Source organism: Homo sapiens, chromosome X (genome assembly GCF_000001405.40).
Source record: "Homo sapiens chromosome X, GRCh38.p14 Primary Assembly".
Taxonomy (NCBI): Eukaryota; Metazoa; Chordata; class Mammalia; order Primates; family Hominidae; genus Homo; species Homo sapiens.
Window position 1 is genome coordinate 3,522,721 of NC_000023.11, and position 13,473 is coordinate 3,536,193.

The following is a 13,473-nucleotide window of genomic DNA, read 5'->3' on the forward strand; positions in this document are numbered from 1 at the left end:
TTAGAAGGAAAAAAAAACACATGGAAGATGTTCTCAAACTTTCCTGCCTTCACTAAGAAGTTTTCTCTTAACTTGCTCTTTCCCAAAAGCTATCGTCTACTCTCTCTTCTTCCCGTCACTACCAAATATCTTCACCCATAGTCTACGCTCATTTTCTCCCATGGGTTATGGCTCCCGCCGTCTTCATTACTCTGTGATGCTGCCCTTGGAAACATGGTTGAGATCTCATTTCCAACCCAGGAACTCATTCTCAAGAGTTTATCTTCTTTGGGCTTCTGCCTTGTCTCTCTCTTCTGAAATTTATTCTGAAACCTCCCCTGGTTTCCACAGTGTCCTCCTTTCCTCTTCCTGGTAGCGCTCATACTTCCCATATCTATCATTATATTTTATTGTTTTCTCTCCTCCACATACCCATATTTGTAAGAGTTTACACTTGGTCCCTTTCTTTTTCTCTGAGACCTCATCTACTTCTGCTCCATTAAATATCTCCCATACACACATGGCTCCCCGGGTCTTTAGCCTTTCCCTGGTGAGACTCAAATTGTCATTGATCTACTGAATTTGTTTACTTGGATGCCTCTATTTAACTCAAACTCATATTTCTTAGCCCCTCACCTCATCTTAGTCAATTTTATGCTGCATCACAAATTACCACAGACTGGTTAACTTATGAAGCAAAGAAATTTATTCTCTCACAGTTCTGGAGTCTGGGAAGTCCAAAAACAAGGTACCATGGGTCAGGACTTATTCTCCTAGAGTCTACAGAATGCTGCCTTGAATGCTGGGCCTTCCAGAGGGGAGAAAGGTTGTGTCTTCGTGTAGCAAAGGAACATGGGGGCTTGTTGTGGGGAGAGACAGAGGAAGAGAGAGAGAGGAGAACCCACTCCCACCCAAGCTCTTCTTCTGGCTGCTTTAATGCACTCATGAGGTGGAGCCCTCATGACCTAAACACCTCCCATTAGTCTCCGCCTCCCAAAACTGTTGCATTGGAAGTTATGTATCCAACACATGCATTTTGGAGGGGACAAAAACCTTCAAACCATAGCATTCCCTTCATCCCCACTGCACCACCATTACATGTCATATCTCAAGGAGTCACTATCTGTTTATCCAAATGAGAAATCATGGCCACATTTTTTAGCTTCCATGTCCAATCGTTATCCTCACATCAGACCTGGCAAAATGTTCCACCAAGTCTGTGGATAACTTCCCTCTCCAATCTTTCCCTTTCTCCTTAGTCCCTCTGCTGTTTTCCTGGTTCAAATCATCATCTCTCTGAAGGCTAAGACAGACACTGGTAACTCCCATTCTCTCCTTTGTATTTTTTGTCATGGAGTGTCCCCCCACCGGCCAAAGTTTTTGCTGGGCACGTCTGCCTCTGTAGGGATACCTTTCCGCAGCCTCCCTTGCAGGTAGTGGCAGAATGTGACCAAGTGTATCAGTGAGCTATGAGAAGAATGGGCTGGCCCTCTGCTGCCCTTTTTTTTTTTTTTTTTTACTTTCCTGAGGGCTAGTTCCTGTAGATATTGTTTGCTGAGCATGTATAACACTCTTTGGTATAGCAAAGACAGCAATGAGAGCTAGGTTCCCTGAAAAGACTTTCCTGTGTACCTACTAAGCCACATCGGACCTATACTTAGAAACAAATTTATCTCTCATTGGAAGCTTATATCACCATCATCATCATCACCTTCACCATCATCATCACCATCACCATCACCATCATCATGACTATCATCACCAACACCATCATCACCATCACCATCACCACCATCACCATCACCATCACCACCATCACCATCACCACCACCATCACCATCACCATCACCACCATCACCACCATCACCATCACCACCATCACCACCACCATCACCATCACTATCACCACTACCACCATCACCACCACCACCATCACCATCACCACCACCACCATCACCACCACCACCATCACCACCACCACCATCACCATCACCATCATCACCACCACCATCACCACCATCACCATCACCATCACCACCATCACCATCACCACCACCACCACCATCACCATCACCACCACCACCATCATCATCACCATCACCACCATCACCATCACCATCACCACCATCACCATCACCACCACCATCACCATCACCACCATCACCATCACCATCACCACCATCACCGTCACCATCATGGTCATCACCATCATCATGACTATCATCACCAACACCATCATCACCATCACCATCACCATCACCATCGCCATCATCATCATCTAAATTTTCTACTTTATTTAGGTCTCTTTGGTTTTCCCCAATATCCTCTTTCTGTTCCAGCATCTTCCAAGATCTTACGTTACATTTAGTTATGACATCTCTTTATGCTCCTCTTGGATGAGACATTTTCTTAGACATTCCTTGTTTTTGATGACCTTGACAGTATTGAAGACACTTGGCAAGTATTTTCTAGGATATCCCTCAGTTAGGATCTGTCAGTTTTTTTTTTTTTTTTTCATGATCAGACTGGGCTTACAGGTTTTGGTGAGGAAAACCACGGAAGTAAAATGCCACGTTCATTGTATCATATCAAGAGTGCCTTCAAGAACCTACCAGCGGGGATTATGGCAATGGACCATAAAAGTTGTCATTGGCAGTTTCCAAATTAAGGTTCTCTCCTTTTCTTTTCTTTTTGGCTTGTTCTGCCCGTCATTAGCCAACGCATTAAGATTGCGGTATATGTCACCACCTAGATTTAACTGCATTTGGAGAATTAAGGTAGAGGCTTATGTCATATTTTGGATGCTGTGTATTGATATCATAAGTACTAGTGAAGGCACCCACAAGGAATAAACTTTTCCCCAGTGTCTAAGTTAGACTCAAATCATATTGTTTGGGCATTAACACAAAGGGTAAGCCCTGAAGAATAAGGAGGAGGAGAAAAGGGAGAAGGAAAAGAGGAAAAGCAGGAGATGAAGGTAGAGGAGGAAAGAGAAGGAAGAAGAGGAGAAAGAGTAAGGAAAAAGGGAGAAAGATAAAAATGTTAAGGTCACTCTCCCCATAATGGATTAGACACAAAACCTTGTTCCACAGAAGGGTAAGTCTGGAAAGAATTGAAGAACCACAGCTCAGTTTTGCAAAGGGAAAGGGTATGAACCCAAGTAGAGACAGGACAAGTTTGCTCTGTGTTTGACTTGTTTTCAACACCATTCCACCCATGAATGCCACCATGCGCTTGCTTCAATGTCAGGTTGAGGAATCAGTCTAAGCAAACTTCCTTCATACTTTCTACTATCAGCCCAACCATAGGCAGATTATCTACAGTTATTCATTCAACATTTATCTTATTGGCAAGTCTCCTTCCTGCCTTCCTCCTACCTTGCACAATATTGAATCTCTGCATTTCTATTTCCCAGTTACATTTTGATTTTTCAGCAAGATCCATACATCCAGGCATCGATGTGAGTTGTCAGCAGGTAGTGGGGGCAGAGTGGATGCTGAAAGGCCCCAGAGCTCCTTAAAGCTGAGTCCCTTTGCTTGCCAAAATGCTCTCATATCCTGTTTTGCATGCCACGTGTTAGACAGTACATTCCATCCAGTGGAGATACAGCTGCTTGTATCATTGCAAACCAGCTAAAGACACGCAGCCCCGGCTTCTGCAGAAATTGGCTAGGATGCGAGTTAAATTGTCCCAATTTGCTAATGAACATACAGAAGGAAAAAATCTTTTCAGCTTGGCTGGTTAGTTGCAAAATATGTCATTTTCTCATTCACATAATTGTTGGGCATGATCAAGTGGAAAATGCAACTATTTTTAAGGTACTCTTTTGCCATATAATGGTGACTCTTTAAGGGTACACATCAGGAAGATCCATCTGGGAATTTTTTTTACTAGGTAGTTAAGATTTTCTCCCCTCCCCCAGACCTACTGAAAAAGGATAGGGTGCATGAATTTTGATAATGTTCTCCCTGGGATTTTGATTTCTAATCCTGGATAAGAGCTCTGCTTGAAAGAAGTGGGGTGATTGGGTTTAGGGCTGCTTCCAACACTGAAGTTTAGGATTCTATGAAGCTTTAAATTTGGATGGAGTGAAGAAAAACCCAGACATCCATTAATGTTAATAAACAGCTGCACATTAGGAAAGTAGATACACTCATAAACTAAAATATCTCTTTATTTTTGTTTCCTGGCATGAGTGCATTCACCTCAGAAACAGTCTCTATGGAAGCGGCCAACATGTAGTCCCTACTGTGTTTATCCAGCCCACTTCCTCCTCCTACTCTCCAAATATCTTTTGCATTACTCTCCTCAACCCACTAAGTGATTTCTGCTCATCTCTCTTTCTGCTCAACTTCAAAAAAGAACATTTTATATTGGATTATGGTGATCAGAGAACCCGTAAAGACCTTATGGTCTTATAGCACATGTTTGGCATCATTACTATCATTACATAGGCCTGATGTTTCTGTAGATGAGTATCTATAGCTATAGATAGAGCTATAGATGACCAAACAATCAATGAGCTCGCTGCTCAATGCACATAGAGACTAATACCATGACACTGGCTTTTGACAAAAGAAAAGCTTTATCGTGAGTCAGCTGGCAAAGAGACAGGAGGTAATGCTCAAATCTGTCTCTGTGAGCTGGGCTTTGGGTCAGGTTTTATAAGCACAAGGTAATTAGACAAGATCTAATTGGACCTTGCAATGAAGTGATGCCATGAGGCATGATCTGATTGGATCTTGCCATAGGGTGACAACAGGGTTCAATCTGATTGGATCCTGAATCTTGACACGTGGTGTCTGCTTCTTAGTTCAGTCCCTGCTCCTCAGTTAGCTTTCTCTCAAGTTGCATGCTTGGTTCATCTGGGCACATTCAGGTTACATGATCCTCAATGTGGGGGTTCATGGCAACTGAAGAACAAATCACAATTTTGCTACATGAAAGTTGAGCCAGATTTGTCTGATGTCGTTTATATATATAATAATATGTACAGACACACACACACAGTTTCATGTTACTTAATTGGTCACTTCTTAGGTGTCATTTTTTTCAGTTCACAAACCGTAAAAAATTATAAACTTAATAAGGATGTCCATTGAATAAAGACAGCACTTTTAGCTCTCAGACATTAGGAATAGCATGCATTTTATATAAGTTTAACAAAGAAACAGAATAACTTGGACTGTCTACCATTACTAGAAAACCAGAGAGATCAAGGAAGTAGAGTGCAAGAATGTTATCTGGACATCCACCGAGGGTGGCCAACCATCTAGTTGACTCAGAACTTAGGGGTTCAGTGCTGAACACACCCTGGGATGTGGACATTCAAGCTAAAACCAAGAAAACCACAGGCAAACCAGTGTAAGCCGGCCACCATACTTATGCTTCCGGTCAAGATGGAGTAACAAAAACAGAGTTTTCCCTCCAGCCTCAAATGACCAAAAAGTAAAGAGTCAACCATTTAAGGGAGAACTATTTTCAAGACTGGATACCAGGCAGTTAAGGATAGTGATTCTCAAAAGAAGATTAATTTTTAAAATAAAGGGAAAATAAATAAATTTTCAAAAGAGAAAAAAAAAAAAGGACGGTGATTCTCTAGAAGCAGAAAAACAAAGTGAGACCTATGGTGGCCCCAGCTCACTGCCTTGAGAGCATTTCCAGGCTATGACTGGAAGGCAGAAACTAAGAGAAGCCTGGAAAACTCCCCGAGTTGAGGAGATGGAGCTGAGAGAACAGCCCAATCATAAATCAACCTACTAGAAAGCATCTCGCCATCAGAATTGTCAAAACATCAAAGCGGCATACCTTTGCGATAAGAGATTCTGGAAATTTTCAAACACAGTTGGGTCAACTCTTGCTTCTATCCCTTGAAACCCTAATGTAAGATGTTTGGAGTGTGTGTCGGGCTGTTTTCTATTTAATGCAAAACTTTGAGCCAGCTCAAACACTGTCAGATTTACACTATTGAGTTTTAAATGACTTCTTTTAAAAAGTTAGATATATTATGCAATATTCCATCTAATATTTTGAGGGGAACAAAAGAATGCAAATACAGTTTGATGGACTTTAAAAAAATCATTGTAGGCCGGGCATGGTGGCTCACACCAGTAATCCCAGCACTTTGGGATGCCAAGGTGGGAGGATTGCTTGAGCCCAGGAGTTCAAGACCAGCCTGGGCGACATAGCAAGACCTCATCTCAAAAAATAAAATAGAATAAAAATAAAAATTTAAAAAAACATTATAATTCTATCCTGAAAAGATAAAAAATCAAACCCAGCATATCATGAGTAATTCACCTATTAGACAACTTAGTACAGTGCCAGTAAAATGGGAAACTAGGTCTATACTGAGATAATCTAATTATAGTTCATGCTTTGCTTTCTGATGTTGGGTTGTTTCAAAAGAAAGACATTTTGGCATAAAACATCCAGATAATTACAGTTAATCTGAATTTATCATCTTTGATTTTATTTGTAGATAACAACAATGTTTACATTTGTTTAGTTTCTGTAAACCTCAGTCTATAAACAAAGAAGATACCTTCGAGACTATCCACCTGTGAATTAAAATTATTTGCTTTAGCAAGACTAAGCAGAAGAAGAACATAGCATATGCTGTAGAGGACGTGTCTTGTTCCTTTAGTGGCATTTCTTACTACTGGAGTTTTTTGCACTCAATTTATCTGGGATTTAGAAAACGTAGCCTTAGCTGTACATGCTTGGGAAGAAAGAAAGCCTTCACATTCTCCATATGTGTAACAAAGATGTGTATTTCAAGCATATAGATGCTTTTCTGCAACAAAAAATATATAGTCTCAATGGGTTATCCAGACTGCCTTTATGTTCACCAAAGTGTTAGGCTGTCCAAGATTAAAATTCCCCAAGCCCGTTAACCTCACCCGTTTTTTTCTGACTACAGCATAAGCAACTCTTTCATGACATCACTAAATAACATACACATGTGGTCACAGTTACAGATATATATTTCCTGGCTGTATGCAAGATGAGGCACTGTTTGCACAGTATCCTTTAAGCAAAATGTCACCTTCCACCTGCAGACATCTGCCTACCCAAATGCGGGTGTGCAAGCAGTATATGCTAAGAAAAAATCTGTTATAAACTGTCAGAAGAAGACCAGACAAACTGCAGACCTCAACAGCCTACCGCCCTTAGGCAGCCGTTTCTACAAGAAATTATGTGCAGATTTTCCTAAGCCCAAGAGCTGTTGTAGACAGGCATGGTTCTCACACATTGCATCATTGTTCCCCAGTTGGGAATTAACTCTGTCTCAATCCCATTTTAATGTCCCCAGCAGGTATATCAATGCTCTGATTCCTCTCTGATTATCATCGAATCACCAAATTACAGTAAACAAAAGTCAGACCATGCAGTGAAGAGACTTCTCCATCCATAGCATGTTATTCTTTGAAAGTAGATGGTTTTATTTAAAAAATAAGAATGTACAAAATTGTGCATGCTAGTTTTTTTCAGAGAACTTAAAACACACGGTTACCCTGGAGGAAATGGTCACATTCTTTATTTCTGTCAGTGCCTGTCAAGATTAAACTTCCTGATTGGAGACTAGAAGATAAGATCAGAGCAGGAATACAAAGAAAGAGAACACAGGCTACCAGACGTTTCCAATCACAGTAAGAAATGGCCTCTGGAATGGAACTCAAATTAGACTAAATTCCAAGAAAAAACCTCCACCGGTCCTATCTCTAATTTTTTTTTCACGCACAAAACCATGGGATTTCTCAGATCTCAGTCTGTAACTGTCTTGGTCAGCTTGGGCTTCCATAACAAAATACAGTATACTGAGTGGCTTATAAACAGCAGATATTTGTCGCTCACAGTTCTGGACTCTGGAAGTCCAAGATCAAGACATGGCAGATTTAGTGTCTGGTGTGGACTTCCTTCCTGGTACGTAGATGGCACCTTCTTGCTATGTCCTCACATAGTGGAAGGGGTGAGGGAGCTCTCTGGGGTCCCTTTTATAAGGGCACTGATTTCATTTATGGGGCTCCACCCCTATGACCTTATCACCTCCCCAAAGCCCCAATTTCTAATACTATAACCTTGGGAGTTAGGATAAATTTGGAGAATACATGAACATTCAGACCATAGTAGTGGCAAAGGCTATAGTCATGTGTCACTTCACAACAGAGATACATTCTGATAACTATGTCCTTAGGTGATTTCCTCATCGTGTGAACATCACAGAATGCACTTTCACAAGCCTAGATGGTCTAGCCTACTACACACCTAGGCTATATGGTCTAGCCTGTGGCTCCTGGGCCACAAACCTGTATAGCAGGTTACTGTACTGAATACTGTAGACAATTGTAACACAATGGTAAATATTTCTGTATCTAAACTCATCCAAACATTAAAATATACAGTAAAAATATGGTATATAAAATAAAAAATGGTACATTAGTATAGGGCAGATTCATTATATCTTTAAGGAATGACTGTCATATATGTAATATATATATCCAGGAGTTGGAGGCTGCAGTGAGCTATGAATGTGTCACTGCACTCCAGCCTCGGTTACAGAGGAAAATCCTGTCGAAAGGAAAGGAAAAGAGGAGAGGAGAGGAGGGGAGGGGAGGACAGGGGAGGGGAGGAAAGGGTGTTAATATCAGATAATTTGACAGAGAGTGGGAAACCAGGAGAGAATAATTTGGAGTGGGAAAAAAAGGGAGAGAGTAGATACAAATGCTGTTTGCAAAAGAGCAAATCAGACAGTTTCTCCTCACAGCCAACTCGTAGATAAAATAGCATCCCCTTGCTCTTCTGGGTGTAATGAAAATTCCCACTCAGTAGGTGTTCTACTATTATGACATTAGGTCTGGTAAAATGCCAGTGCTGTTTGCCTGTTGCCATAATTAAGTAGCCATTGACACTTGAGTAAGAATTAATAAATAGTGCACTGTCAGCAAATGGATTGTCAGGTTCGAAAACCCAGCTGATTTACTTCCAAGAAAGACAAACCCCCTACTGCAGCAGAGAGCCTGGAATTAACAAGACTTAATCTGCTAAAGGAGAAGGCAGACTCCCAAAAAGGGTTAACGGGAAACTGAACACAAGTCCCACTCACATCAGGATTTTCCAGAGCACAGACTGACCTTTCACAACTCCACAATAAAAACCAGTGACTTCTGAAGAGGGATTCTGAATCATATTTTTCCCCAAGGATTTGGAAAAGTCACTTTTTCATGTGTCATCCTCACTTGTGGGGGACATGTGTGTGTGTGTGTGGCTTCATGATTGATTGTCTTATGCAAACTCTAATTTTTTACCCAGGTCTACCTTGGTTATTCTACATAGGTGGTCCAATTCTCCATTTATTTACCCCTTTTTCTGCCATGCTGTTATCCCTTAAAATTAGCTTTACATTTTTTAAAAAAAAAATGTGTCCAAGGCATGAACCAGGCATAGGCACAGATGAAAAGCCAAGCTGGGAGGAACAAGGGGTTGCTTTGTCCCTGGCTGATATGAGATGGGCACCACCAACTGGATGCCACTCTACCCAGGTCAGGGAAATAAAATGAGCTTCTTAGGACAAATCAGAAAGGCACTCAAAGACAGTCAGCGATAGGGTTTGGATCTGTGTTCCCACCAAATCTCATGTCAAATTGTATTCCCCAGTTTTGGAGGTGGGGTCTGGAGAGAGGTGATTGGATCATAGGGGTGGGTCCTTCAAGAATGGTTTAACACCTTCTGCTCAGTGCTGTTCTCATCATAGTGAGTGAGTGATCACGAAATCTTTTGCTTGTTCAGAAGTGTGTAGCACCTCCCCACGCCTTTCTCTCTCTTCTTCCTACTCCAGTCACTAAGATGCCTGCTCCCCCTTCACCTTCCACCATGATTGTCAGTTCCTGAGGCCTCCCCAGAAGCAGAAGCTGCCATGTTTCCTGTACAGCCTGCAGAACTGTGAGCCAATTCAACCTCTTTTCTTCATAATTATCTAGTCTCAGGTATTTCTTTTCAGCATTGCTGAGGCAGGATAGGTAGTCAAGAAAATGACTGTGTTCTTTGTGTGCAGCAACCATGGTTACCATGACCATACAGTCAACACAGTAAGCTTCAGCATTTGCACTGTCATTGAACTCATTCAAGCAAAACAATTCTTCAGTAGGAACTTTCCCTTACAGAGAGCATGCGCATTTTGATGTTACCAGTCCTCAAACTGACCCTTTGCTCATTTTAATAGTAAAAAGCACACCTGCGGGTAGAGATATAAGATGTTAATGAGACCTGCAATGCATGAAAAAGCACGTACAGCTACTGCTCATGTGCACCCAGAGGACCACCCAGAACATGCTTAACAGCAACACCTCTTTCCACCTCCTTATAAATCATCATGTAAGACTCCCATAAAGGGAGTTTCTCCAGCAATAATCAATACTCTGTCACCCTAACTAGCTGCCTGCCCTGAATCTACTTTCTCAGGTTGTACTCTCTAGTCTCCCGCTGACTTTCAAAATACTCTTTTTGTTTTGCAATAATTTACTCTATGCTGCATCTCCTTGGCTGTGTGTCTGTGTTTAAATTCTTTTAAACTAGGAAGACAAGAATCAAGGTATCACGACAGCCGTCAACAATGTGAGAACGGACTAATATGAACAGAAAATGAGGAAAACAGCTATCAGGTAGCAGGACGAGAAAGTCTCTGATTTCATCCTGCAAACAACCTGTACCACACCAGGCTCACAGGCCCTCCTATATCCTTCAAGCTCACAGGGACCCCCACCATCCTTCCATGCCGACAATATCCCACGTGTTCTCCCAAGCTCAAAGTGGCTTCCACATCTTTCTAAGCTCTCACTCACTCGCAGTCCATGTCCTCCAAATCATATTTCTCACAAGATTCCACAACTTTCTTTTCCTGCCTCTTCCCTACAGGCAGAGGTTAGAATCAGCCTCTCTGGTCAGCCTCATCTGAACTCCTTTTTCTGTCTTTTCTTTCCATTCGTTCATAATCAGTGCTTTGATTAACATCTCCACACTTGGACACCCTGGGTGAAATGTGCTCCCTGTGGGGCTCTGACGGATACCCCATCTTCATTCATTCATTTCTATAAAGCAACTTGAGGCTTGCAACCCTGTTCACTGTTCAATTTGCCTTTTTAAACCCAGCCTCATATTCCACCATCCTACAGAAACCCCCATGGCTCCACAGTCTCCCAAAAGTAAATTTAGGGGGAAAATAGCCTATGATATACAACTTGTAAAATTTTGTCTGTTGATTTCACCTTTCTGATTTGGCTGAAGTTTCACAATGCAGGGATATCATCATCACTCTTCCAACAGGAAGAAATCTTTTTCTTCAATTCCCAGCAAACTGAGGAACTAGAAGATGAGTAGCACTGGCACTCAAAATATTTAGACACATATGAGGGCATTTCTTGCCCAAAATGACAGCTTAACTTTACTGCTACTGTTTACTGTAATCTTAGGAGGCTTGTGAATTTTTCTGACCCTCCAGCAAAGGTGAAGATCAGTCATCCATAACTGATGTCGTAAAGCAGATGGCATGAAGCAGACATCTGCAGTGGTAATGGAACAGGAAGCTTACACTCTTCCTAGCTTGGAAACAATGCTCAAAAAGGGTACCTGGTAAAGACAAAGAGTTAACACTGGGAAGTGTGCTGGGGAAATGCTAATTTTCTCACACTTTCCATGCTCATGCTCAGTCCCTGGGGCAGCGTGACCAAGAGCTCTAGGAAGAGAAGGAGAATCTCTTTTCATTTACCCCTGACTCCAAACATGCATGCAAACAGATGGGTGCATCAGTAGAATAAGTTCACATTCATCTACCAAAGGGTTCAATAAACTAAGAATTACATGATCCTATTTGGGGTTAAAACATAGAAATTTTGGTTTCTTCCAATAATAACAACTTTGCACTAGTAGTTCACTATCTAGAGCAAATAAACTAGAGAAGCATGGTGACTATGAAATAAAAATCACAACTGAGTAAGACTTTTAGAAAGGAGACAGTATGTATTCACTGACAGCCACATATTTCAGCAAGATGCACCAGGTAGTTGTTCTTGAGAGAATTAATAACAGATGAATCTCAGGTTCAGAAAAGGCAAAAGTAAAAACAACAAAACTGAAAGCTACAGACAACTTGGAACAAGAATGTTCCAAAAAAAATCTGGCTTCAAGATGCTCAGGAACTAGATTCCTTCCTTTTATCTCTTCTACCACCCTAATACATGACTTTCATCTTCAAGTTTGCCTCATGTCTCAGTGTGAATGCTGAAGCTCCAGCCATTGTATCTACATCCCAGAAAGCAGATGAGGGAGCAGTGAGGAACAAAATGGCCTCTGCGCCAAGTGAATTAGCTCTTTCTCTGCAGTCTTCCTAAATGTCCCACGACATTTCTACTGCAATCCTATTGAACTTAGTTACTTGGCCCCAACTAGTTGAATGAGAGGCTAGCAACTATAGTTTGCTCGTTAAGTTTGGAACATTACCACCTCAAAACAAATTTGAATTCACTTGAGAAAGGACTTCAGGGCAGGCTTGTAATCCCAACACTTTGGGAGGCTGAAGCGGGAGGATCACTTGAGGCCAGGAGTTCAAGATCAGCCTGGGCAACATGGCAAAACCCTGTCTCTACAAAAACTACAAAAAAATTAGCTGGGTGTGGTGGCAGGTACCTGTAGACCCAGCTACTTGGGAGGCTGAGGCAGGAGAATCACTTGAGCCCAGGAGACGGAGCTTGCAGTGAGCCAAGATTGCGCCACTGCACTTCAGCCTGGGCGATGAGAGTGAAACTGTGTCTAAAAAAAAAAAGAGAGAGCGAGCGAGCGAGCGAGCGAGAGAATGGACTTCAGTTATCAAATGCCAGTTTCTGCTCCAAATGCCATGGAATAACCGACTTGATGAGAGCTTAGAGATGACAGCTTAGAGATTGGTCAAGGAAGATTTGTGAGCCACGAACACCAGCTTCTAGAAAAGCAGTGCACACTCCTCTGCAGGCTCACTCCCAAGCAAGCCAATTGTTCACTGTGGAGTTTGGGTCTCCTGTCCCTTGCTCCCTTCTCCTCACACATCCCCAGTCACCCTGGAGGTCAGAATCTAAAATGGGTCAGCAGGGCTGCTGTCTTTGGGAGGCTCCAGGGAAATCGTTTCTTGCTTTTTTCTGACTTCTAGAGGCTGCCTGCATTCCTTGGCTCATGGCTCCTTCCTCTGTCTTCAAAACCAGGAGTGTTGCTTCACTTCCCCCTTCTCTGTCTGTCTCTGCCTCTCTCTTCTCTATCTCTCCTTGTGCCTCTGTCTGTCTCAGCCTCTCTCTGTCTCTCTTTCTGCCTCTGCCTCTGTCTCCCTCTCTCTGCCTTTCTGTCTCCCATTCTCTGTCTCTCTTTCTCTCTGTCTCTCTTTCCCTGTGTCTCTTTGTCTCTTCCTGTCTCTCTGTCTCTGTCTCTCTCTGTCTTTGTGTTTTTCCAACTCTCGTTGTCTCTCTCTGTCTC

The 13,473-nt window shown here is 42.1% G+C and overlaps 1 non-coding gene across 1 annotated transcript, besides 1 other annotated feature; it reads right to left on the minus strand.

Annotated features, from left to right (window-relative positions):
- Positions 4,710 to 5,909: an enhancer, noted in NCBI's record as "BRD4-independent group 4 enhancer chrX:3445471-3446670 (GRCh37/hg19 assembly coordinates)". NCBI's record gives its function as "activates an origin of replication core promoter dependent on BRD2, P300/CBP, MED14 and CDK7 cofactors, and independent of BRD4, by STARR-seq in HCT116 cells {active_cell/tissue: HCT116}" and the evidence as "EXISTENCE:reporter gene assay evidence [ECO:0000049][PMID:35650434]".
- SNORA48B (small nucleolar RNA, H/ACA box 48B) lies at positions 9,397 to 9,531 on the minus strand. The gene has a single exon (NR_145722.1). It is a non-coding gene; the product is annotated as a small nucleolar RNA, H/ACA box 48B (small nucleolar RNA).
- Positions 9,532 to 13,473: the final 3,942 nt, after the last annotated feature.